The 27,058-nt window shown below is 36.7% G+C and overlaps 1 protein-coding gene across 6 annotated transcripts in view; it reads left to right on the top strand.

Moving 5' to 3' along the window:
* DLC1 (DLC1 Rho GTPase activating protein) overlaps positions 1 to 27,058 on the top strand; it is a 521,260-nt gene that overhangs the window by 98,051 nt on the left and 396,151 nt on the right. For all 6 annotated transcript variants that reach the window (NM_001348082.2, NM_001348081.2, NM_001413124.1 and 3 more), the window contains exon 2: positions 6,374 to 7,521. Coding sequence is in view for 5 of the 6 variants with exons in the window: in NM_001348081.2 (NP_001335010.1) it covers positions 6,499 to 7,521 (1,023 nt within the window). In the remaining variant the exon portion in view is untranslated. The remainder of the gene's footprint in view (positions 1 to 6,373; positions 7,522 to 27,058) is intronic.

Genomic DNA, 27,058 nt, shown 5'->3' with positions numbered 1-27,058 from the left:
CATGTGTGTGTGTGTGTGTGTGTGTCCATGTGTGTGTATGTGTATAAAGCAGTAGGTGGAGAACACGACCTAGAAATTTAACATGGGATGGCTAATCAGGATGAAAAACTCTAAGGGAAACCAGAAGTAATTCTAGCTATCTAAGGAAGAAGTAAGAAAAGAAAAGTAAAATGGCAGTACTGTTATGTCTTTATTTTCCCTTCCATTAAATATTCAGGATATTTAATAGAATATCCTAGAGTCAATCATGTGTTCATTTATTTATATCAATATATATGTGTACACACACACACACTCTCACAACCCAGAAGTCAATAGCGTGTTCATTTATATATATGTGTGTGTTTACATATACATATTTATGTGTGCATGTATTTGTATACATATGTGTATATATGTGTGTGTATACACACATATATATATCACATGTATTCTCAAAGGACTGCTTTATGTATACACACACATATATGTATCACATGTATTCTCAAAGGACTGCTTTATATATACACACACACATATATGTATCACATGTATTCTCAAAGGACAAAATAAGATACCTGCATTTGATGGGATGAATACAAAAGTTGCCATCTTTCCAAGTACTGTGAGTGAGGGATTCAGGAAAAGTGGGAATTTGAGTGAGAATTCCCCATTTATGTGCATGTACTAATGTAATGCTATTTATATGTTATTTTATGTATCTTAAACTTCTATTCAGATAACATTTTAGGAAAACTATGGCTTAGACAATTCCTAAGAATACCTGTTCCAAATTTCAGGAATTCCCCAGGAGAGTTAGGGAAGGAAAGGAAACTGAAAGAACTGACCTAAGAATCTCATAGAAATTGTGCTGACATTGGTGACATAAGATAAATATCCAAACTGGCACCTTTTCTTTGCTACGTACATGAGACTGGTGTTTGTGTAATTGCGAGGGGATGCTGTGGTGAGGGGGAATGGGGCAAAAAGAATGGTTTGGCCCCACCAGACATATTGCAGAAGAACTGCAGTCGTGTTTATGCATCAGCTTAACCTTAAAATTACTGCTGTAGAACATTTTAAAATTTAAATTATTTTTAGCATGAATTCTGAAATCCAGAGATAAGACTTTCTTAGCAAATGGCACACAATATCATAATACTTTAAATTATTTTTAGCTATGTCTTCTGATATTTAACTCTGTATTTCTAAACAATATGATTGTACTATGATTTTTTTTTCTATTTTAAACATTATCTGTTAACTTCCTGCTACAGAAAGTGACTATCTCCCTTAAATTATTTTCCCTGCTCTCCCTAATCTCACTCCTCACAGAATCCTATGCACTGAAAATCATTGCTTCATATGTTTTGGTTAATTTAATGTTTACTATTTGCATTATTTTGACTACATGAAAAAAATTAGCCACAGCTTATGGAGTATACTATAATTATATTTTCCTTCTTGTAAAACTATTTTTCCTGTGGTTGATAATTGATATCCCTAGTGTTCTCTATAACTATTAATAATTCTTCCATCCAAATTGCTTGACTTTATTATAAAATTCCTCTCAATATGTCATATATAATTTATTATTTCCCTTTTTTTAGAGACATCTCCCAGAGACAACTTTAGGAGTTATGTGAAATGATTGACCACTGGACTTGCTACACAACTTTTATCCTGAAAATTCTATACCTTCCTCACTTGTGCTGAATTCTTGGCTTCCTTTTGCCATGTCTTTCCCACTGTGTTTATTTTTTAATTTGGGGTTAGCTATCTCTCCAGTAGCTTTTGAGAAGAGGTTAAAAAAAAAGTAAGACTTTTCATATAATTTTAAGGCAGACATAATTTCCCATCCAAATTTTGAAGTCGTATTTGCCTGTCGTCTTCCCTGCACTGTTACTTTTGACAAATCTGATACCATTGATTCCCAGCTCCTAATATATCATCTCTTTTTCTCTTTCTCCGATTACATTTAGAACCATTTGCTTACCTCCTATGTTCTGAAAATTCACAACGACATTTCTTACGTGGTCTATTGTTCTTTCTGGTACCATTGCATCCTCATGAGTTCCCTTCAATCGGAAGACTTGAATCATTTGTTCTGGAACACATGCTAAAATTGTTTTCTTTGAAAAATTTCTTCTCTTAATGTTCTCTGAAGGCCGGGCGCGGTGGCTCACGCCTGTGATCCCAACAGTTTGGGAGGCCGAGGCAGGCGGATCACCTGAGGTCAGGAGTTTGAGATCAGCCTCACCAACATGAAGAAAACTGTCTCTAGGAAAAATAAAAAATTATCCTGGCATTGTGGCACATGCCTGTAATCCCAGCTACTCGGGAGGCTGAGGCAGGAGAATCACTTGAACCCAGGAGGCAGAGGTTGCAGTGAGCTGAGATGGCGCCATTGCACTCCAGCCTGGGCAACAAGAGTGAAACTCTGTCTTAAAAAAAAAAAAAAAAAAAAAATTCTCTGAAATGTTTCTGATAAATGTTACCCTCCAAGGTAACTAGTGAGTTTTCGAGTTGCAAGCAATTCTCTGGAATTTATTGTTACCTCTGCTATCTTTTCCAAAGAGGTAATTCTAGAATAGTAGAAATCTGAAGCCAGAAAGAAAGGAAGATTTCTTCTATCCAGTAGGAAACTGTACCTCAAATACCATTTGACTTGAACGTTCTGGAGGCAGAAAACTTACCACAGATAGATAGATATTTACCACAGATAGATATCTATGATAGAACTTTCTTTGTAACTATTATCCTTGTCTACAGGAGTTTCTCCCACAAAATTGGTAAGCTTCAGTAGCAAAGGTAGACTATACAATTCAGGTTTATATTCCTAATGTTTAGACAAGTTTCTGCCACTCACTGGGTACTAAATAAATGCTTGATGAATAGTGATTATGAACTAACTACTGTCAGTTCTACAGACTGAACACTTGATTTCAGCCAGTGGTACTTCATCTGCACCTTGCTCTCTCAGGCTGTAGAATCAGCAGTAGTAATTATTATCAAGCTCTTCTTTTCTAAGAACAATTGGCAGGCCAAATTATAAGGTGGTCTTCTATTTCAGAGACAAGTGCAAAAATAGAGCATGATCATTTGATATCAAATATAGATCAGTGATTTTCAAACTAGAATGTCTCCAATTGTTAAATACGGTAACATTTAATTTGTTTAATTTATTATTATTTTTTTTTGCTCTATCACCCAGGCAAGAGTGCAGTGGTGCGATCATGGCTCACTGCAGTCTTGACCTCCTGGGCTCAAGCAATCCTCCCACCTCAGCCTCCCAAGTTGCTGGGTCTACAGGTGCACGCCACCACTCCTGGCTAATTTTTGCATTTTTTGTAGAAACATCATCTCTCTATGTTACCCAGGCTGGTCTGAAACTCCTGGCTCAAGTGATCCGCACACCTCAGCCTCCCAAAGTGCTGGGATTACAGGCGTGAGCCATCATGCCCAGTAATTTTGTTCAACTTTAATGTATATATTGTATGCTATAAAACTCTTACGTTAAGGCATGGTAAGTGTTACAAAATTAACCCAAACAATGAATTCAAAATCATGCACGAATATCACAAATTTGGAAATTTCAAAAGTATTTTCCAGAATCATAGCATCATTAGAAGTACATACAGTCTCTTGTGATGTTAATGTCACGGTGCTTGAACACATGAATTTAAGAAGTGAAAAATCCCCATGGAAATTCACTTCATAAAACCAACATCCTGAAATGACCTACAATTTTCCAGATCCTCCATCCAAATCCTCAGCAACTGAGCTCATTCTGAATGAAACTGCATGAATAGGATTACAAAAGAAATGTAATAGAAATCTGAAAAATAAGTAGTCAGTTTTTTGAAATGTAATTTTAAATAAGGCGGCCCAGTGAGGAGGCTCACAGGAGAAGTCAGTCTTTTACAAAGATTTCTCTCTATTAGGGGATAGATTATAATCAATTCAGATGATTTAGGAAATGAGACCTATAAACTCAGATGTGATTGACAATAATCTAATGCTCCTATTTATTAATAATCTGGTCTTTAAATCATAGAGACAGATTTAACTATAAATCTTACAAATCAAAATTTAAATAGAAACTGGATAGGAGAGCTTGCAGACATTCATTTTTTTAAAAAAACTATCAGACCACATGACATGGAATGAATGAAGATGCCAAATGTAATAATGATCGTTATGAAAATTGAGAAATTGCATATCTTAAAAATAAAAGTGTACACTTACAGAAATGATTTGGAAATGTTGAAAGCACCTAGATTAGAAATGAAAGCAAGAAGAGTTAATGCTTTATTGGATTTATCTTATTTATAGTCTCTCTTTCCAGTTAGATTGTCTCAGAACTTGTTGAACTATCTTCCTTTGATTTGACAGAAATACTTACCTACTTGTCAAGGTTGAGTGACAGAAATTAATGAATATTATTGTCAAGTCTTAAAGGCAAAATTTTTGTGTAATTCTTTTTGCCTAAAAAGTTAATAAAACTATATTTCTTCTTAGTAAAAGAAATGAAACCAGAATTCAGGCTCAACTTAAAATATAAATGTGGCTTAGGAGTGACATCGTAATACCACTTGGTATTTCTTAAGTGAGCCGGCTCTTTCTACACTGGATAAAAATAAAGAGAGAAAAGTATCTAAAACCCTATTACCTCCCAAATGTGCCCATGAAAGCAGAAATTTTCTGGCTTGCATCTATGTGTTCTTTCCACTTTCCGTAGCCTCCCACGTTATAATGACTTATGCATGGAATTCAGAGATTTTATATTTTCTTTTGAGTGCAGAGTGAACGTCAACATGGAAAATGTGAAGGCTGACCACTTTTCAAGATGGCCACAGACCTCTGAGGGAACCAAATAGTATCCAGAAAGATACTTGGTCAGGCTGGGATACTAAAATTCTAGCACATGTCAATTTCGCCAGTTTTTACAGACTGGAAATATTTACCTCTCAGGCATGTGCTTAGTCAGAACAGCTCGAAATTTTTGTTGGGGAGTCAAGGCCCTTTACAATAGAATAGACTAAAGAGATCGAAAATCAGTATAGCAGTTAATCTTGTTTATAGCAGAAATCAGTAACTCAACCCATGTTGTGTGCTGACAGTTCTCGTGTGAAGTAAAAACTAAAAGTGTCTGCTCTGTGAATGGGATTTTTCTTTTACAGTCCAATAATATAGTTTCATTGTGGGGCAAAATTTGGGTTAGTCATTTTTATAACGTTGAGTTGACACTGGTATTATTTCTTTCCTTTAACTAAGGGTTTGAAGAATTCAAGGCAAAAATTTGGGTACCTGGTATGTGTTTGTATTCTAAGCTTGTCTTATGCATGATTTTCTTGTTTACTTAAATTTTATGGCCATATTCTAACAGAAATATGCAAACTAAACTTCTTATAAGCCAAACAGAATGAGACTGAAGTTTCTGAAGAATAGTCCCAATTGTCTTATAGTCATATCTTCCTTTATGTTCACTTGAATTCTTGCATAAAATATTTAGAGTTTACACATACTAAAGTTATGTGGGAAGAAGGGATGAAGGTAGAATCTCATAATTCCATGGAGACAATGAAGTTTGTTGACTATCTCAGTCTGGGCCTTAGAAGCAGGACCAAGTTTGAATCTCGGCTCACTTGCTACATGTATAACTTTAGTAAATTATTTAATTTCCCTTAAGCTTCAAAAATACCAGCTTGCAAGCTAGTAGTAGCAGTAGTAGGATGCATGTACAGATGTATCTGTCCTAATTGTAAATGGTATGTGTTATGCTTTCTAATCCATGCATTCTGTGTTAATATGTGCTAAACTGGATTATTCCATGTTTCTTAGTCATTCCCTGGAGTAACTACATACTGGTCGTTTGGGTTCGGTGTTAGCTCCTTCACACACTAATACATTACACATGCTGTCTCTATAGCTCAAGTTTTGCATGAACAGTTCCCTGGTGGCTTTCGCTGTGATTCAAACCAAACAGTGAATAGATTTATTTAACAACTTGTGTTCACAAAAGTAAATCAGGAAAACATGCAAGCCAGAACAATGTTTCTTCCAGTGATTTTTATTAAGTATTGCATTTCACATATTTTCTTAATGGAGTTTTAAATGTTCAGTATTTGTATCTTTATTCATTAATGGACCAATCCAACTGCCTTTAAATGCCTTTAAAAGTATTGCTGATGATTTTTATCAGAAATATTCAATGTTAAATTTCCTTCTAGTATTAGGCTTCTTAAAGAAATGACATTATTAAAGCTACTAAACAGAAGCTTTATAAAATCTCTTAACTTTGATAGCATAGATTAAGTTTTCTCTTTTCTAAGATATATTTTGACTTTAGAAACGTATCTGCGACTACATATTTTTTTGAATTTTTTAATAGGTGGTGAAATGACAGAACTCATTCGCTTCTTTGATTGGTGATTTTGAAATAATCTTTCATCAAGTTCCATCTCCTTTACCCTCATATGGAATATATCTCTCTGTCTGTTGTTAAACTACGATGACATGTCTGTAGCTATCAGAAAGAGAAGCTGGGAAGAACATGTGACCCACTGGATGGGACAGCCTTTTAATTCTGATGATCGTAACACAGCATGTCATCATGGACTAGTAGCTGACAGCTTGCAGGCAAGTATGGAAAAAGATGCAACTCTAAATGTGGACCGCAAAGAGAAGTGTGTTTCACTACCTGACTGCTGTCATGGATCAGAGCTGAGAGATTTTCCTGGGAGGCCAATGGGTCATCTTTCAAAGGATGTGGACGAAAATGACAGCCATGAAGGTGAAGATCAGTTTCTTTCTCTGGAAGCCAGCACAGAAACACTAGTGCATGTTTCTGATGAGGATAACAATGCTGATTTATGCCTTACAGATGATAAACAGGTTTTAAATACCCAAGGGCAGAAAACATCAGGCCAACATATGATCCAAGGAGCAGGCTCCTTAGAAAAGGCACTGCCCATCATACAAAGTAACCAAGTTTCTTCTAACTCCTGGGGAATAGCTGGTGAAACTGAATTAGCACTGGTAAAAGAAAGTGGGGAGAGAAAAGTTACTGACTCTATAAGTAAAAGCCTGGAGCTTTGCAATGAAATAAGCTTAAGTGAAATAAAAGATGCACCCAAAGTAAATGCAGTGGATACTTTGAACGTGAAAGATATTGCACCTGAGAAACAATTGCTTAACTCTGCTGTAATTGCTCAGCAACGAAGGAAACCTGACCCCCCTAAAGATGAAAATGAAAGAAGCACCTGCAATGTAGTACAAAATGAGTTCTTGGATACTCCTTGCACAAACAGAGGACTGCCATTATTAAAAACAGATTTTGGAAGCTGCCTTCTGCAGCCTCCTTCCTGCCCCAATGGAATGTCAGCTGAAAATGGCCTGGAGAAGAGTGGTTTTTCACAACATCAAAACAAAAGTCCACCAAAGGTCAAGGCAGAAGATGGCATGCAGTGTTTACAATTAAAGGAGACCCTGGCCACCCAGGAACCCACAGATAACCAAGTCAGACTTCGTAAGAGAAAGGTAAGACATATGCACAGATTCTCTGGCTTTTGAAATTTTGTAAATATCCTTGGATTTATCAGTTATCATTTTGCTTGGATTAAAAAGATATGAAGATGGTTCTTTTGCCCTGTTATGCAGATGTGTAATTCAACGACTACCCACTTGGTCAAACCATCAAAATATGTAAAAATTAAAGAATAATAATCTATCCGTTTCACTAATAATGTGTATAATGGTTTATGAATATTCTATTTCAGAATTGTGTTGAAAACAGGATTGGTATCCCTTTCTTTAGTTGGAATTAAATAGCCACTAGATAGCTCATAGACATGCAATTCAAGGCATTCTGTAGAGTGATTTCTAATTCTTATAAAGAAAGTCATGGTACTGTTATAGCATTTATTTGGGCATATTTCTTTTTCTCTTCAAAAAGACTATGTTTTCATAAGAAAAAAAGGTGGTATAAATCACATATTTAAAATAATCCCCTCACATATACAAAGGCTAAACTACTCCCACCCCCAAAATGTGCTGGTGCCATTTTAAGTGATACCCTGGCACACTCACCATCAATATATATATCATAGTCTCTGTTTCTTGCCACAACTGTTACTTAACTGTCAACCAGAAAAGGCTAATAACCACAATTATGTTTTATGCTACAGCCCCTTTGACTAATTCTAAAGATGCCATCCTCCCCTGCGAAGCTTTCAAGTGAGAGAAGCAAGGGCTAAGATGGTGCTACCTGAATTATGGTTTAGCAAGTGAACCCTTGACCAAAACCTGTCTTTTCTATAGAATTTCCCCACATTTTTCCAAAAACTGTAGTGAGTTATAGTCCTGATATAAGTCCAAGCACAGTTTCTTCTTCTATAAACCCCACATGGCCAATGGCATGGAAGAAACCCTGCATTTTTGACACTGGTATGCACTGATTAAAACATATATCCTTGCCCCTCTCTTGATACATTCATCCATAACTGCAATTCTCCTAAACACAAAAGTAATGTTCTTTGTTCTGTTCAACTGGGGCTATCTACCATGAGAGAGAAAAAAAAATCTACTACTTTCTTTGTAGTGAAGAAATCTGGTTTTCATAGACTGTGGTTTTGCTTACAAACTAGATCAGTAATGTGTCGTGAGTTAGTTTAAATGAAGTCAAAGACTTTACAGCAAAAATCAGTGTCCACAAGCTATATGCTAACAGAGCATTTTGTGCTTCTGGCAGACTCTCACTTCCTTACATAAGTTTTATGAAAATGTTAATGCTCCATAAAGTTGTTATGATTAAACTGTTTAGATCACTTTTTCAAAAACTTTCATATATCCTATCAAATCTGTTTGAGGGAATGCTGTAATGACATAAGACAGTATTAACTGACCTATGGCATAGCTCCCCTAAAATAAAACAAACTCCACCCAACTGCCAATGGAAACATTAAACATTCCAGAAACATATACTCACCACTTGAACATTTATATCAATACTAAGAATGCTGGAAAGAATTTACTCTTGGACATGTCACTATAGCATGGTTGCCTTTTGAGAGTTATAATTATATCTCATTTACAAGTTCTAACTTAAATTTTCTATTTTAAGCATTCTGTCATTCTAAAGTGTTGTGACATTGCCTGATGGAATATTTACTTTAACTCTACAACCCATTTAGGATGCCTTCTAATAAATAGATTAAATGAAAACTTTTAGGTTGGGAATTTATCCTAGAAAACTACAATTATGTGAGAAGCCCTTAGAACTAAAACGTGTAAGAATTTTTGTTTTATGCATTATTGGATGAGTGTTAAAATACCATTGAATTGGCAATTCGCCATTTTTAGAAATTTACCAGAAGAAACAATAGAGCATATTCATAGAAAGATATGTACAGAGGTGTTCATCACTATATTGCATGTTACTGAAAGAAAAATGAAACAGTCTACATTTGCATCAATAAAGAATTTGTTTAGGCCAGGCGCGGTGTCTCATGCCTGTAATCCCAGCACTTTGGGAGGCCGAGGCAGGCGTATCACGAGGTCAGGAGATCGAGACCATCCCGGCTAACATGGTGAAACCCTGTCTCTACTAAAAATACAAAAAATTAGCCAGGCATGGTGGCAGGCGCCTATAGTCCCAGCTACTCGGGAGGCTGAGGCAGGAGAATGGCATGAACCCGGGAGGCGGAGCTTGCAGTGAGCCGAGATTGCACCACTGCACTCCAGCCTGGGTGACACAGCGAAACTCCATCTCAAAAAAAAAAAAAAAAAAAAAAAAAAAAAAAAGGAAATGGTCTAAGAATTTGTTAATTATTTATCTATTGTATGGAATGCTGTGCTTTCATTAAAAACATGGAGTCAGATCCAAGCACACTAACTTTTAAAGAGGCTCATAATATAGTACTGAAAAACAACAGTAGCAGACCAATATGTATAGACAGCCAAATCTTAATGTCAAAATGTGTGTGTGTAGGTATGTGTGTGTGTGTGTGTGTATATATATATGAATGTAGATAGTAATATAAACCTCTCTGTATGGCTGAATAATATGTGAAATCCTGGCTAAATAGGCACAAAATTGTTAACAGCAATTACATTGGATGAGTGGAATTAAAAGAACAGGAGGGGTTTTCACTTTTTACCCCATATAATCTTTATAAAAGATCACAGAATTATGTATGAAATGCATACACTGAACAGAAACACAAAAATAAAATAATATTTAGTATATAAGCTGAGGCATTTTCTGCATGGCACAAAACAACCTTTTATCTGCATTATTATTATGATTCTGCTTTTATAAATTATGAACAAATATTTATAAAGTTTTTCACACTATTAACAAGAGTTCTAATCTAGTTGATGTCTAATACTAGTGCAACTGGTTTAGAAGAGATAAGTTTTTTGGAGGCACACATGTGCCACATTTTCATGTCTGTAGGGAATGCAGTGGCAAATGGTCAAGTGGTAGAAAGAGTTTGCTAATTGTCTATATATTTAAAACTGTTTGTCAGCCATAGTAATACCCGTAAGATAAGAACTTGGAAAAGTGAAATCAATTAAGGCTAATATCATTTTAGTTATGGAATTGTAATCAGCTCATTATCTGATAATCATGTGATTGAATCAAATCCTTCAATAAATTTGTGCACATTGATTTCTTTTGTCAAGATCACATCAAAGTTCTAAGACCTGAAGAAAAAAATAAAAGAGCTTATAAGGGGGATCTTCAAAATGTATTGAAATAGTGCTCTAGAGATATCATTGTACTTTTAATAAAAATTATCCTTCCTTGAAGCCCATAAATCTTAGCAGGCATTCATCGTTTTGCAAAGCTTAGTTTTCTTAGTTTCCGATGATATTTCAGACTACCAGGGTTTAGTCACACGTATATTTATTAGGAGTCTCAATTGGAGGGGATTACATTTGTAGTATATGTACAAGTATATACCTTTATTTTTAGTATATATGTAGTATATAGGGGATCACAAATATTGACCTTTTAAGCCAATAATTCCTCTAAATAGGATGAAATATATAATGAAATTGAAGCCACTGATATCAAAGGAAAACCAAACAAATTGTGAGCAAATGTTAGTGAATGTGCCATAAGGTTGGGTGACATATGACCAGCACTCAGGGCCTGGCTGGTCTCTGGGGTGAGGCGGCTGGTTAAAAGCAATTCTGAGACAAATTCCAAAGTAGTCTGGAGGAGGGAGACAGTCTAAGAAGTGGTCTCTTTAAACCAGATGAGATGTGAAGATGGAAAACATTTAGGGAAAGACTTGAGGTTAGACATTTTTTCTTAAAGAAGTGGGTTACTAATTAGAGAGAGTACAAAATTCAGTCTTCTGTAAAGACTACTTAAATAGTTCTGAATTTTTTGAATAACCATAATAATTATATAAATGTCTGAACATATGTTTATTTGCTCACATAAGACAAGAAATAATCCATATTACAAAGCAAAATAAACTCCAAAAAAGATGCAAAGATAATCTGAACTTTAAGAAGACACCTAATTCTACATTCCAACAAAAACCTTATATTCCAAAAACAAATTAAATGAATGTTAGGGTCTTAGTTTATCCCTCAGGTTTGTGTGTGTTTGTTTATTTCTTTGAGATGGAGTCTTGCTTCCTTACCCAGGCTGGAGTGCAGGGGTGTGATCTCCGCCCATTGCAACTTCCGCCTCCTGGGTTCAAACAATTCTCCTGCCTCAGCCTCCTTAGTAGCTGAGATTACAGGAGTGCACCCTCACATCTGGCTAATTTTTATATTTTTAGTAGACATGGGGTTTCGCCATGTTGGCCAGCCTGGTCTCAAACTCCTGACCTCAAGTGATCCACCTGCCTCAGCCTCCCAAAGTGTTGGGATTACAGGTGTGAGCCACTGTGCCCGGCCTATATCTCAGTATTAATTAGGCTATAGATTTGGCTGCTATCTCAGAAAGCATAATAGTGGTTCAAATGACATATTTCTCTCACACGCATAAAATAGGGATAAGAAGTTCTGAACTAATATATAGGCTCTATGCCTTCAGAATCCACACCCCTTTTATCTACCCTCTCTGCTCTCGAGTCCTCCTCTACATTCAAGTCAGTGGGAAGGCAAAAGGCTACAGGGGTGATCGCACCCTGTGTACAGGCAGTACCCAGGTCGTCGGCTTCACTGCAATTTCATGGGCTAGAATTTAGTTGCATGGGCATATCTAGCAATAAAGGAACTGACCATTGGAATCTGCATTCTGGACAAGCATATGTTTGCTAAAAGTTCTATTATCAAAGACGTAAGGGACAATTTATATTGAGAGATAACTCATAACATAAATATTGAGGAATACACTCTAACATAAATATATTCCAATATATCATGACACGTTGTGAAAGAAATAACCAAGCTGCATATATGTTCTGTGGTATTCTGTATAAACACTAGGTGCTTTAATTTCATGCAACAGAATACCTTTCCTCATTATGAAACTATTTGATATATTAAGTGATGTTTATCAGATGCTATATCATTTCTCATAGAAAAACTGTCCAGGAATAAAACATTATATTGTACATACTGTACTTTACATCTCTGGAAAACATAATACATTGTCTATGACTGATAAAAATCAAATATTTTCTCCTTATTCTATATTTAAAATATGCAAACATTTGGTAAAAGGACTCCCATACCTGAAATGATACTCTCTTTCCTTTCTATCCCCTGAATGCTGATGGGGGAGACTTGTAACAAGGGGAGGATAACATTGACCAATGGGTGACATAAAGAAGATAGTAAATTGTGCAGAAAATGGAATGAACCAAAGTAGGAGGCTGACTGGGACAATATAAAAGGAAAGGAACTATTTAAAGAAAATAAGTTCTAGAAAATAAGTTTACAATGTAAAGAGGTATAGAATATATTGTAATTATATTTAACAGTATAACAAGTATTGTAACTATAGTTAACAATAATACATAGTTTCAAATAGCTAGAAGAAGGATATTGAACGTTCTCAGCACATATGTTCTCAGACATGATCAATGTTTGGAACGATGGCTCTTCTAATTACCCAGATCTGATCACTAAACATTGTATGTATCAAAACATCATCTATGTGCCCCATAAGATTATAAACAATGTTTATGTATCAACTGAAAAATTTTTAATTAAAAAGATAAATTAAAACAAGAAATGAAAACCTAAAAGATAGTTAAGCCAAGCCTCCAGACTAATGTAGCAAGATATGTGGAATGAAAGCAAGGACAATGAAGGAATTAGCTTGTGAATAAGCTTAGTATCAGCCGACAAGGAGGGAAGGAATGTAAAGCAGGGTAGGTATATATAGCTCTGCAGATAAATTCATAATAACAGTATTATTTTACACTAAGCTTGCACTGGTTTTAATGACACAGGCCTGTTGAGAAGATTGTGCTTCCCAAATCCCCTTGTTTTGACACTTGTTTCCCTAGGCTAAAGACTGGAGCTGGCAATGAAACTTATTTCCAAGTGGTTAGTTGGTGTGTAAATTCATAACAAGTTCCTGTGACAGTTCTTATCCAACATATTCTTAGTGAGTTTTGTGTCCCAGGTAAAGCCAATAGCTTTGTAAATAGCTTATTTTGTGCTTCATTGGGCCACTGAAAACTATCAAATAATTTCATGCCATTTAACCTGGTTTTTGCCTTATAAATAACCAGAAAGCCAAAAATGTATTTGCAGATATTTGGGGCTCAAATATATCGTCTCATGACAAATAAATATAAGTCTCCTAAAACCAACTTGAAATGCAAAAACATTTAATTGTAAGATAAATGAAAACGCTAGGTATAGCGTCTGGTAAAATCAATCAATAAATATTGAGCATTTTCAATATCCCAGGTGCTATCCTATGTGCTTGGTCCACCACCATGAGCCAGTTAGCAGACTTTATTCCATTGCAAAGCATCTAGTCACTGAAATCCCACTGGAGATTCCAAGCAGGGCTTCTGTTTGAATGACGTATAAGGCTGGCACTGAGAGAGGAGAGAGTAGTGAGAGAGGTGGAGGGAGAGAGAAAACAGAGAGAGAGAGAGAGACAGAGAGAGTAAGTGATAGAAAAAAAAGGACAGGCTAAAATAGGATACCAAAAATAGCACTGGTCATTTGTAAAGAAAAAAATAAATACAAGTCTTTGACAAAAAGTGAATATGTAGCAGGCTGGAATCAGATTCAATTTCAACAGGATGATGTGGTTATCACAAGCAGGAGTTTAGCAAAGAGACAGGGAACATGAACTTGACTCCAGAGATTATACAGCTGATGGAGCTAAATCATTGCTATTTTTTAACATCAGGTGATGACCAGAGCCAGCCTTATGGGCTGTATCTCCAACAGGCTAGAGGTGGAACCCTCAGATAAGCTCATATTTCAAGATCCTCAAATGTTTTACTTTTTGGGGGTGTTTAATTTCCCCAGTTTTCTCAGTCAAGTTAGTTGCTCAGTTCTCTCTATACCCACAGAAGACTTATTACTGACATGATGTATATATTCCTACTGTAATCCTATGTATAATGTATAATAAACAAATTCATTGGAATCCAATTGATTCCACCATTGCTAACTAAAATGTAGCTCACTGAGCACAATTATTCAACCTTGTGTCCGCAGTGCTTAGAACCTGTTCATAAATGCTAGAACGAATGCATGTCTTCGTTGTGGTAAGATATTTATTTTCAGAGGATAATGCTAAGTGTCATGAACCCAAGTTATAAAGATGCAGAAGAACTTAAGTCATACAACCACCACCATTGGCCACATATCCCCTCTCTGTTCTGCCTGCTAGTTCTGTGCTAAATCAGGACATGAGGGAAGAAGAGGGACAAGGGAATCATGTAAAATCTGGATCTCTGAGGAAACCTTCAAGACTGAGATCATTATTACACTGTGCCACAAAAGAACTCACTAATCATAACTAATTAGTCAATAGCAAACGATGAGTAGTAAATGTTATCCCGAAGATACTTAGTTGTATCCAGAGAGGAGTGGACAAGGATGAGTGTAGAAAAGGAAACTGTTAGAATATCCATTCACGTATATTTTATCATTTAATTTTATGTATGTTCTATAACATACATATTAACACAAAAGTATATGTGTTATTGTTTATAAGTAAGTAACATACACATGCTTGCAGGGGAGTCCATATCAAAAATGTCAGAGGCCACTGGTCTAGAAATTCCATAGCTTTTCTGGGTAATGTCACTATGAGGAAGTTGGGGGTGGAGTGGAGAGAAGATGGCAGGAAGAATAGAATAAGAGATTGAAAGACAAATGATTGGGGAGATTGAGAAGCATTTGTTTAGAGAGTGTCAAATGCTGACAAATTCTTTTTTAATTTTCATTGTGAAAATGACATAAAGTTGGGAGATTTGCTGCCAGATGCCTTTAAGGCTATATATATATAAAAAAATATTAAATCTGAATATATATATAAAAAATATTAAATTTGAATATGTATATATTCAGATTTAATTGCCCTCACTCAGAATATATATTCTAAATTTATATATATATATATTCTGAATTTATATATATATGTGTGTGTGTGTATATATATATTTATATAAATTCTGAATGAGGGTAATTAAACCTGAACGTTCCTTGTTCCAGATATTATTGGGAAAAAAAATTAGTTACGATGTATGAGGGGCCTCTGATCTAATCAGTGATTTGAACCAAAATCGCACATTTACATCAGCTGTTAACAGGATCATTAATGAGTTCACATTAACCCAACATCAGCTTTTATTGGAGCAAGAATTAATACACTTTTATGATGTTATTTTAAATAATGAATGGTTACTTCAGAGCCAATTGTGCATTGGAGGCCATCGTAATAGTGAAACTGATTTAGCTTGTTCCTCATGGATTTCTGTTACTATAAACCATGACCAATTTATTAATCTTTTAATACCAACAAACAACCATAGGTTTTGGCTGCCTCCCTCGAAGAAATGCCAATATCCACACAAGTTGGGATAAATCACATAACCTATGTAACAGAGTCCTGCCTCTTATCTGGGTACCAGACACAGTGGTGCCAACAGGATCTGTTTTTCTGGCTCATGTTCTTACAAATAATATACTTATCCCTTGCTGCCAACAAGATCTCTATTCTACAGATAATTTTCTAACCGTAAAGAAAATTATAGTGCTATTTTAAAGATAACCTCACCAATTTCAAAGGAAATATAAGTAACTGGGAGAAATAAACTTTTTTCTTAGTTCTAGTTCTGTATTGACATAGGAATAAAACTAGTGATTAACGAACCTCTTCAATTTTTTCACTTCTATTTTTTGAGCCAATGAAACTTCAAAAGGGTTTGCAGCTTTTTATGCACATTAAAAATTAACCCAGAGATTTTTGAAAATATTGAAATAGCATCATTATTTGGTCTAGAAAATGAATGGCTTGGACTGAACTTGATTTTCCAGCCAAGGGAGTAAGCTGTAATGAGGAAAAAAAGCACAACCTAAAGTGGGGGGTGTATTTAACCTTTGTGAGCCTTTCATGCCCCTGGAAAATGGAGAAAACAGTCTCGGCCTTACAAGATTGTTAGGAACATTAAGTAAAATGGAAAATCTCATTAAACATCCACATAGTACAGCACCTAGAACAATGGTATTTTTTAACCAGAATTCGAGATGAGGATCTGACAGCCAAATAATTGGAGTGCAGAATTATTATATCTGAAAATAATGCAAATTCTAGTAGAATCTATATTCACAGCATATATAAGCAGCCAGCATAAGTAGCTTCTTCAGTGGGAAATTTCTGGACTCCTGCACTGCCCAGGGTTAAGTGTCCACAGATTCTTCACTATGCCTAGAACAAACTAAAGAAGCCAACAGCCTCTGAAGCCAAACTGCCTGGGTTTCAGTCCTGCTTCCCTCACACGTATCTTTCTAATCTTGTAAGTTACTTAATCTCTCTATGGCACAGTTTTTTTTTTTCATTTGTATAACAGGATTCTCCATCTATTGTCAGAAATATTAAATGAGTTAATATATACAAAGTAGTTAAAAGTGTCTGTGTACACATAGTAAACACCTTGTGACTTCAGCTATTCTTAATAGTAGCAACATTTTGTGTGTGTGTGTGTGTGTGTGTGTGTGTGTGTGTGTATGGTGTGTGTGTTTTACTAAATTGCCCTAATTATAGATCTGAGAGTTTCTTAGAAAAATCTCGGGGCCGGGGGCGGGGACTGACAAATTCAAGAGAGAACTGAGAAAGTATGTCAACCCACATGGACATCTGAGGCATCAAGTTTTATCATTAAATAGTAGCACTGGCCAGGCACGGTGGCTCACGCCTGTAATCCCAGCACTTTGGGGAGCCAAAGCAGGCAGATCACCTGATGTCAGGAGTTCGACACCGGTCTGACCAATATGATGAAACCCTGTCTCTATTAAAATACAAAAATTAGCCAGGCATGGTGGCATGCACCTGTAATCCCAGCTGCTCGGGAGACTGAGACAGGAGAGTCACTTCAACCCAGGAGGCAGAGGTTGCAGTGAGCCAAGATCACGCCACTGCACTCCAGCCTGGGCAACAAGAGCAAAACTGCATCTCAAAAAATAAAAATAAAAAATAAAAAAAATTGAGCCTAGAATATGCATTCGTTGGCTAAATATTTATTATCTTCTCTTTCCCATGCACTTTGCTATGTGTGGTGTAGAATATGAATAAGCATATATGTGCCTTCTTACCTAAAGGTGTTTACACATTAGTAGGGGCAATGTAACACACAAATAACTAACTTTCATATTAAGCGTAATTAACTTCGGTAAGTTTTGAACTACAAGTAAAGTTATATCTTAATTAGGTTTCAACATAATTAAAGTTAGAAAGTATTCAGATCGCCAGAATTTGGGCTAAGGGAGGATCCCTTTCCAGATGGGGAGGTCAGAAAAGTCTTCGCTCAGCTGGTGTCTGGGCTGAGCTTTAAAGGATACATTTTAGATTTTGCACTTGTGGGAATAAATGAGGGAAAGGGATCTCTTTGTGGCATTTTAACTGTTCTGTTTTCTGTTTCTGTCTTCAAACTTCTATTTTTTAGCTACGTAATTTCAGGGCTCACCATATTTTAAACAATTATCTAGATTTCAATATACTAATGAGTCCTGAAAATGATGCTGGCTTTATAGCTAATTTATAGTTAATTTGCTCCCTAGCTAGTATTTGATTAATTAATAAAAAAGCTAAATGAAAATTGTGGAAATGTGCTTTGTGACTAAGGCATTAGCAGGAGATATATTAACAAAATGGTTCAACTATGAAATAATGATATTAGGTATTCATTCCCACTAATTCTCAATTCCCTCCCTGATACATAAGAATCATGTACGGAATGTTTTTAATACACTGTTTTATATAGTTTTGAACAGTTATAACAAGGTCAGCATAATTGACTGAAAGCATGAGAAGTAAGAAGGCATGAGAATAATTCCTCTTTCATTAAAACTTCAATGCTGATCATATTTCATATTCTACTCACATACTGGCCTTAGGCATAATTAGAAATTTTCTGTAGTATCACTTTGAAGAGGTCCCCAAAGGTATTTTAGTCAGAGTGTAAAGCAGGCAAGAAATGTACTTCATAAATATCTGATAAAATGTAAAATATCAATGATCGCCTTCTTTAAGTGTAAAACAAGAGATTTTCAGGCCTGGTGCAGTGGCTCACGCCTGTAATCCCAGCACTTTGGGAGGCTGAGGCGGGTGGATCACAAGGTCAGGAGTTCAAGACCAGCCTGGCCAAGATGGTGAAACTCTGTCTCTACTAAAAATACAAAAATTAGCCGGACATGGTGGTGGGCACCTGTCATCCCAGCAACTCAGGAGGCTGAGGCAGAGAACTGCTTGAACCCGGGTTGGGGAGGTTGCAGTGAGCCGAACTCACGCCATTGCACTCCAGCCTGGGCAACAGAGTGAGACTCCGTTTCAAAAAAAAAAAAAAGGAAAACATTTTCTAACTCTAAGAACAGAAAATGGGAGCATGCAGACCCTGTGAGTTCAACAGCTATGCTGTTCGTCTTCTCTTGTTATGGGACAAACTTGGAGTGGGAAAGATTAGTGCTGAGGTTCAGTGTACTAAGTCTTAATTTTTACCATTATTGTATAAATTTTGAGACTGAATGTCAATTTAGGGCACAAAATTCATTGATGAATTTCCAAATGACATAAACTTTTTCTTAAGAGAATTATGACATGTAGATAGCCCAAACCTATGGCAGGAATATTAAAATAAATTTACTTAACAAAAATATTATGGATGTCCATTCATTTTCAGTATCTGTCATAATCATCCACAACTGGAAATGCAATATTTTGCTTCTTGCAAAAGTATACTCTTTGTTGAAACCTGGAGTAGAAGAGGTGACAAGCACAAAAGAACCAAGCGGTCACTACTGCAGGCACTACATTAGTAAGTCGACTAATTGTGCTCTGATTCCACATTTCCAAAGGACTTCCAAAAGGAAACCGCAGCAGACTTCCCTCAGAGGGCCGGTGGATAATTTGCCTCACCCCATCCACAGAAGCACAGGGAGATGGGACTTTGAGTCAATATCACAGCTGACCAGTACCTACATTAAGAAACAATCTGCCAATTTCTTGTGTACAGAATGATTATTTCTCACCCTATGTATTTGCTGTTGTGTAGTTGGGACTTTAACTTCCAATCCATTCATCAAGGACATCCCTTGCATTTTGCCTTCGTTTTGTTGTAGGATAATCACAAGATCTTGAATATCCTGTCCTATGTTCATTTATCCAACAAGCAAGTAATTGCTCAGTGGACCATGCTAGGTGTCATCTTACAAACAAATATGGATGAAACACCCAGAATTTGCATTTCATAGGTTCATGGAATGTTTCAGCTGGAAAAAACTAAATACCCTTGCATTTCATTTGAACTAAAATAAAATGTGTGGGTATTGACAAGACCAAGGAGCTGTAACTTAGAATGTTAATAGTGGTATGTCGTGGTACCAGTGTGAAGTTGCTGCCCCACAGAGAAAATGCTGAGTTGAACATTATTATGGAAACTCTATAATTTAAAAGTAATCAGAAAGAATTGGCCAACATCGAAATGTAACACAAACCTAATATTAAGGGTTTTCTTAAATGATGAAAGGAAATGTCTTATGCCTCTTTCAGACATTTGTCTACTTTGTGTGCGGGGGAAAAAAACATCTGAGAATTTAACTGCCATTTCAGGTATATGCTGACAAAAACATAAAATGGATTTTTTAAAGCAAAATGGAATGGAGTCTAAAATGAGCTTTGTTTTTTCTACGTTTCTCCTGGTTTCTAGTTTTGCAATAAAAATTTGCTTTTTCCTAAGGCATGAATTTTCATTTCATTCGGTTATTCTGTACTCCTTCCCCATGGTCAACATAGACTTTTATCATAAATGTGATCTCTGTCCACTTAAAAGTTACAAAGTGCTTTCTCTCAGATGTTCACAGTGTTTGGATTGAGGCATGATAAATTTTAAACAAGCTGAAAAGTATTTCAAACAAGTCCCATGCCATGAGCAATTGTCAAGAGGGCAGAGGATAAAGGAAGTTAGCTAGCGGATTTCTGTGTACTCGTCATGCAAATTTTTCTTTTAAACATGTCATTGATCACATAAAGCACTAAATTTTTATGCTTAAAATTCTGCTTAGACTAGAAACAAAAAGCATGCTAAGTTGTGCATGAGCCTTTCCTGGGCAACTCAAAATGGAAATAAATCTATTTTTGACATTTCATACCCGATAGTTATTGGAATCCTAAATCTTCAAGCCTGGCCATTGAGAGAATGTATCTTCTGTTAGAGAATAAGTGAACAATAGTTGTGTGGGTTATGTGAAGTCTGTAGATTACGAGATTTAATTTCTAACTTTCACATACGTCTTTCCATTTTTAAGAGGACCAGATTTACTCAGGAGATGTCAACAGATACGTTACTACATTGATACAGTGAGTGATGCATACAAACTGCTGCCCAAGATTTGCACCTCCAGTATTCCCTTTTAAAAACATGGCTGTGCAGTGCCAAGCTAGAGTTCCAGTTACTGCACAGAATGTCACAGCAAAATGTGGTATACATAAGGTCACTTGAGACAGCAGAAAATAGGGTAGGGTGGCAAGTAGCAACAAGAAGTGCATGTTCAAACAAGGACAATGCTACTGTCTCTTTTCAAGCTATATTGAAGTCATTTTAAGCCTATTGTTTGTTTATGATGAGTGAATAAAACCAAGTATTGTGGCTAACAAAGATGGCTACACTATGGTTTTCTATACTGCATCAGGACTTGGGAAAGAAAAATAAAAGTCAGTCTCTATGTAGGAGAAAATAGTAGAAGTGTGTTAGAATTCCAAAATCCCTGCTATTAAAAGAAAGTATAAAGGAGCTACGAAGCCATGTTTAAAGTACCAAAGATTTAAAATAGCCACCACACTTAAGGTGAATCATAACCTTGTCTAGGGATTTTTATTGTTGTTCTATATTTCAAATCCTGGAGAGCTGTACTTGACATAGCATTTTCAAGGAATGGGTACCATTTCAACCACTTCATAAGTGCTTAATTCTGGAAGAATTATTAGCAAATAAGCAAATATTTTGTCATAAGTCTCCTGGTCCAACCACTGTGAGTCCCACGTAATCTCTCTTCTGCTTGCTGGTCATAGCGCACATCCCTGTCATGGTCAGTAGGTACCCAGGTGAGAAGGACGAGATGGACTTTTTCTGTATATATGACAGATGGCCTCCAGGGACTGTTTATGTTCAAAGTGACATATTTACCTTGCCTACTGTTGCTGCCATTAGTTCCTTCTGGGCAGAATTTCATTGCCACTCTGATAACACCCTTCTGCATTTTAACAAGGATGTTGTGAAACTATGAAACCAAGAAAACTAAACAGATACATAGAATCAAGAATGAGTTGTAACCAATAGCCATCACTCGTGTTCGGTTCCATCCTTTCCTTAAGGAAGGAGTTTAAAAGCCAATTTACTTTGAAGCAAAGCAAGTTAAAGTATATCCATCGCTCCAAAAACTAAAGAGAATCAGTCCAGGCATACAAGACTTATTTCAGAAATTAAAAATGTTTATTGAGAACGGCTGCTAGATTCATATTGTTATCTGTCCATATGTACCTGTGGGCTAATCATAGGTAGAGAGAGTTAAGCTAAAAAACAGAGATTGAGAATGAATCTTCACTTTAGAAACACTGTAAAAATGCATCTGTAAGCTTAGTCTTATTTAACAATTCTAATGAACATAATAATTTTACATCTTCATGATCTCTCATATCCATTTCCTTTATTCTCTACCATCTTTTCCTCAAATTACTGCTACGTTTTCTTAACTGGCCTCTTGGCCTTTGGTCCTAACCCCTTCCAATTCATATTCCACACTGCAGCTCAGATTGTCTTTATTTCATTATTTACTTGTTTATTTATTTTGAGACAGAGTCTCACTCTGTTGCCCAGGCTGGAGTGCAATGGCATGATCTGGGTTCACTGCAACCTCTGCCTCCCAGGTTCAATCGATTCTCTTGCCTCAGCCTCCCTAGTAGCTAGACTACAGGCGATGCTACCACACCTGGCTTTTTTCTGTACTTTTAGTAGAGATTTGGGTTCACCCTGTTGGCCAGGCTGATCTCGAACTCCTGACCTCAAGTGATCCAGCAGCCTCGGCCTCCCAAAATGCTGGGATTACAGGTGTGAGCCACCACACCCCGCCCGAGATTATCTTTAAACAATGCAAATCTGTACTTCTCCCTTCTATTGCTTCAAAATTCCAATATGGAAGACATGGTTTTCAAGGACAGTCACAATCTGGGCCCTGTTCACCTATGCCATCTCATCTTCACCTTCTCCTCATCCCATACTTTACAGCAAACTTAAACTTTTTCCAGTTACCTCTCACACACTCTCTCTCCCTGAAAGCTCTCCCAGCTCACCTCCCTGCCCTTGCCTAACTAGTTTTTGGTTATTCTTCAAGTTTCTTCTTACCTGATACTTCACTTAAAATGTCTTCCCTGAACCCCTCAAAAACTGAAATGGGGCCACCTTCTAGGTGTCTCTGTGCATCCTGCAAGTACGTGCCCTAGCATAGCACCTGTCACACTGGATTGGAACCATCTATTCACTTATCCATACTGTAGTGATTGAATTGTGGCCCCTCAAAAGGTACATGCACATTGTAACCCCTGGAACCTGCAAATATGATCTTGTTTGGAAAAAGGGTCTTTGCAGATGTAATCAAGTTAAGGATCTCAAGGTGAGATCATCCTGGATATCCCAGGTGGACCCTCAATCTAATGACAAGCGTCCTTACAAGAGACAGAAGAGGAGCAGACATGGACACACAGACAAGGCCATGTGAAAACAGAAGCAGAGATTGGACCGATGCAGCCATAAGTAGAGGAGCGCCTGAAGCCACTAGAAGCCAGAAGAGGGAAGGAAAGATTCTGCCCTAGAGCCTTCTGAGAAAAGCACAGCCCTGCCAACCTACTTTGACTTCTGGCCCCTAGAATTGTGAAAAAAATTCCTGTTGTTTTAGAACAGTTAAGTTTGTAGTGATTTGTTAGAGCAGCCTCAGGAAACTGGTATACAAACCTCCAATTCAAACTGTAAATTCCTTGAAGACAGGGACCGTCACACTCATTACTTAGTCACCATTCTCTCCTTAGCAGCTAGCATATGCCCAGTGTACAGCATGCATTTATTAAATTTCTGTTGAATGAGTGATTGAGTGAAGACAAGCACGGCACTTCAAGCATGATCTTATGTCACAATAATCATTAATCCTATTCTCTCACTGTCTCTCTGTTCCAATTAAATCGCGTAATCACGTCAGGCTATATTGACTTATCTTAAGTTCTACCTAATATCTCTCAAGAAATGCTAATAAAAGGTAACTATGACGTATAGTTAATTACATGGGGACATCTCTACATTAAATGTACCTTATTTTGCTTGATAGAAAACATGATTTCTATAGCTATAGTTTTAAGAAGTCAAGATTCCTGAATCAATTCCAAGCTTTAAATTATTTCACCGCTTAACCTGAATAAAGACACTTCTAGTCAGACAGCATTGCTCTATTCATCAACTATTTTTATCTTTTTAATATGTAAATGATACATGCACATGGCAAAAGAAATTATAAAATGAAAAGTTAAACTCTCTCTCTCTGACTTGTCCCATTCTTGTAGACACCATGATTAACTGTCTCCAATCTGTGCATTAGATATATGACTAGAAATACATGCTTCCATTTATATACATACATATTAATTAATGATATTACTTCAAATTTATAATGTCCACCTGTGAAAGATGGGGTATTTCCTTTGTTCATTTAACAAATATTCTTTGACTGCTGTATTCATTTTCTTGGGCTGTCCTAACAAAGCACCTTAAATTGCATGCTTAAAAGAACAGAAAGTCATCGTAATTGTGGTCTAGAAGTCCCAGATCAAGGTGTGGGCAGGGTTAGCTCCTTCAATTGGCTCTGAAGGAGAATTGGTTCCTTTACACTCCCCTAGCTTCTGGTGCTTTGCTGCTAATCTTTGGCATTCTTTGGCTTGAAGACTTGTAGGTATATTATCTTTCTATAGGCCTTTATGTTGACATGGGCTTCTTCGTGTGTGTGTGTGACTATGTCCATATTTCCCCCTTTTTAAGGACATCAGTTGAGTTGGAATACTGGCCTGTCCATCTCTAATATGACCTCATCACAACATGACTAGTTACATCTACAAAAACCCTATTTCCAAATAAAGTCACATTGTGAGGTACTGGGGATAACATTTCAACATAAGAATTGGGAGAGGGGTCCAGTTCAACCTATAACCAGTGCTTATGTTTTGTGCCAAGCACAGTTTCATATAACAGTACAACGGGGCTGTAAATTTTCTATCAGAAACTTACATTCTAATGGAGTCTGGTATTCTCATACTTGCTCAAAGCTTCTCCTTCATAACAACGGACGTTTATTATTTATGTCTTTTTTCTTCTTCCAGTATTTAGCTTTATGAATGTCAGTTATTTATTTTATTTAAAATGCTTATTCTTCTGTTTGTTTGTTTTATTTATTTATTTACTTTTTGAGACAAGGTCTCACTCCCATCACCCAAGCTGCAGTGACTGGCACAATCATGGCTCACTGCAGCCTCAACTTCCCAGACTCAGGTGATTCTCCCACCTAAGTCTCTCAAGTAGCTAAAACTACAGGCATGCACCACCATGCCTGGTTAAGATTTTGTATTTTTTTGAGGAGATGGGGTTTTGTCATATTGCCCAGGCTGGTCTCAAACTCTTGAGCTCAAGTGATCCAGCTGCCTTGGCCTCCCAAGTTACTGGGATTACAGGCGTGAGCAACTGCACCCAGCCTATTTGTTGATTTATTCATTTTTAATATTTTAGTTAAATTTATTGTCTTTCCATTTCAAAAGCGTAGAGAATTATGATCTCTCATACTCATTTCCTTTATTCTCTGCCATCTTTTCCTCCAATTACTGCTACATTTTCTTAACTGGCCTCTTGGCCTTTGGTCCTAACCCCTTTCAATCCATATTCTACACTGCAGCTCAGATTATCTTTACTTACATATTTATTTATTTATATATTTTGAGACGGAGTCTGGCTCTGTTGCCCAGGCTGCAGTGCAATGGCGTGATCTCAGCTGACTGCAACCTCTACCTCCCAAGCTCAAGCGATTCTCCTGCCTCAGCCTCCCTAGTAGCTAGGACTACAGGCAATGCTACCACGCCTGGCAAATTTTTTATACTTTTAGTAGAAATTGGGTTTCACCCTGTTGGCGAGGCTGGTCTCAAACTCCTGACATCAAGTGATCCCCTTGGTCCACCTCTCTTCTCCTTCCTACTGTGTATCTTAATTTTTGTTGGTTGTATGAATTTTGCATTTTTACGATTTTAGCATATGTATTCTATCTAATGACTATTATCATTCTGTGCTTCACCTATAGGATAAAGATTCAAAGACCATAGCAGTCTTTATGATACATAAATATTCACTCCAGAACAAAGCAGTAAAATTGGACCCAAAGGAAGAAGATATAGTCTATCTTTAAAAGATCAACCAGGCAGGCATCAAGTTCTAAAAGATTTTCTTTTACGTTCTTTCTATTTTGTTCCTGTTTTCTATGTTATGCATCTTTCCCATGTCCATGTTCTTTATCTTTCTTATATTCTTATTTTTCTGGTTTACATATCTCCCTGAATAACTTAATCACATTGTCGTGCATATATTTTTAAGCTTTTATGGGTCCTTGTTTGGCTCATATTTTAACCAATAATCAAACATATTTAACTGTCTATGCTCTATTTTTTCCCTTGAGAAACTGGATGATATTTCTCAACTCTCCTGTGACCCAGTATTTTATATTAGAAGATCTATATGTCACACTGATGTCTGTCTTTTGTAAATAAGTTGTTTTGTTTGTTTTTGAGACAGGGTTTTGTTCTGTCACTCAGGTCGGACTGCAAGTGGCAAGAACATAGCTCACTGCAGCCCCCACCTCCTGGGCCCAAGTGATCCTCATGCGTCAGCCTCTGAAGTGTCTGGGCCTACAGACACACGCCACCACACAGGCTGATATGTATACTTTTCTTCTTTCTTTCTTTTTCTTTCTTTCTTTCTTTCTTTCTTTTTCTCTTCTTCTTCTTCTTCTTCTTCTTCTTCTTCTTCTTCTTCTTCTTCTTCTTCTTCTTTTCTTTCTTTCTTTTCCTTTTCTTTTCTTTCTTTCTGAGACAGATTCTTGCTGTGTTGCTGGGACTGGTCTCAAGTCTCAAGCAATCCTCCTGCCTCAGCCTCCCAAACTGCTGGGATTACAGGTGTGAGCCACCTTGCCCAACCAGTAGCTTGTTTTTAATTCTCTAGATAGTCAAGATATTTTTCCTCCCTAGAGTTATAAAAGTTATCAAAGAGCAGCTTTGTTTCTTTTGGATGCAACCTAATGTTAACTAAAATCTTTCAATCTGAGAAGCCATAACTTTTATCAG

Source organism: Homo sapiens, chromosome 8 (genome assembly GCF_000001405.40).
Source record: "Homo sapiens chromosome 8, GRCh38.p14 Primary Assembly".
Taxonomy (NCBI): domain Eukaryota; kingdom Metazoa; phylum Chordata; class Mammalia; order Primates; family Hominidae; genus Homo; species Homo sapiens.
The sequence above is the reverse complement of the archived record's forward strand: the minus strand, read 5'-3'. Positions and strand labels throughout refer to the sequence as shown.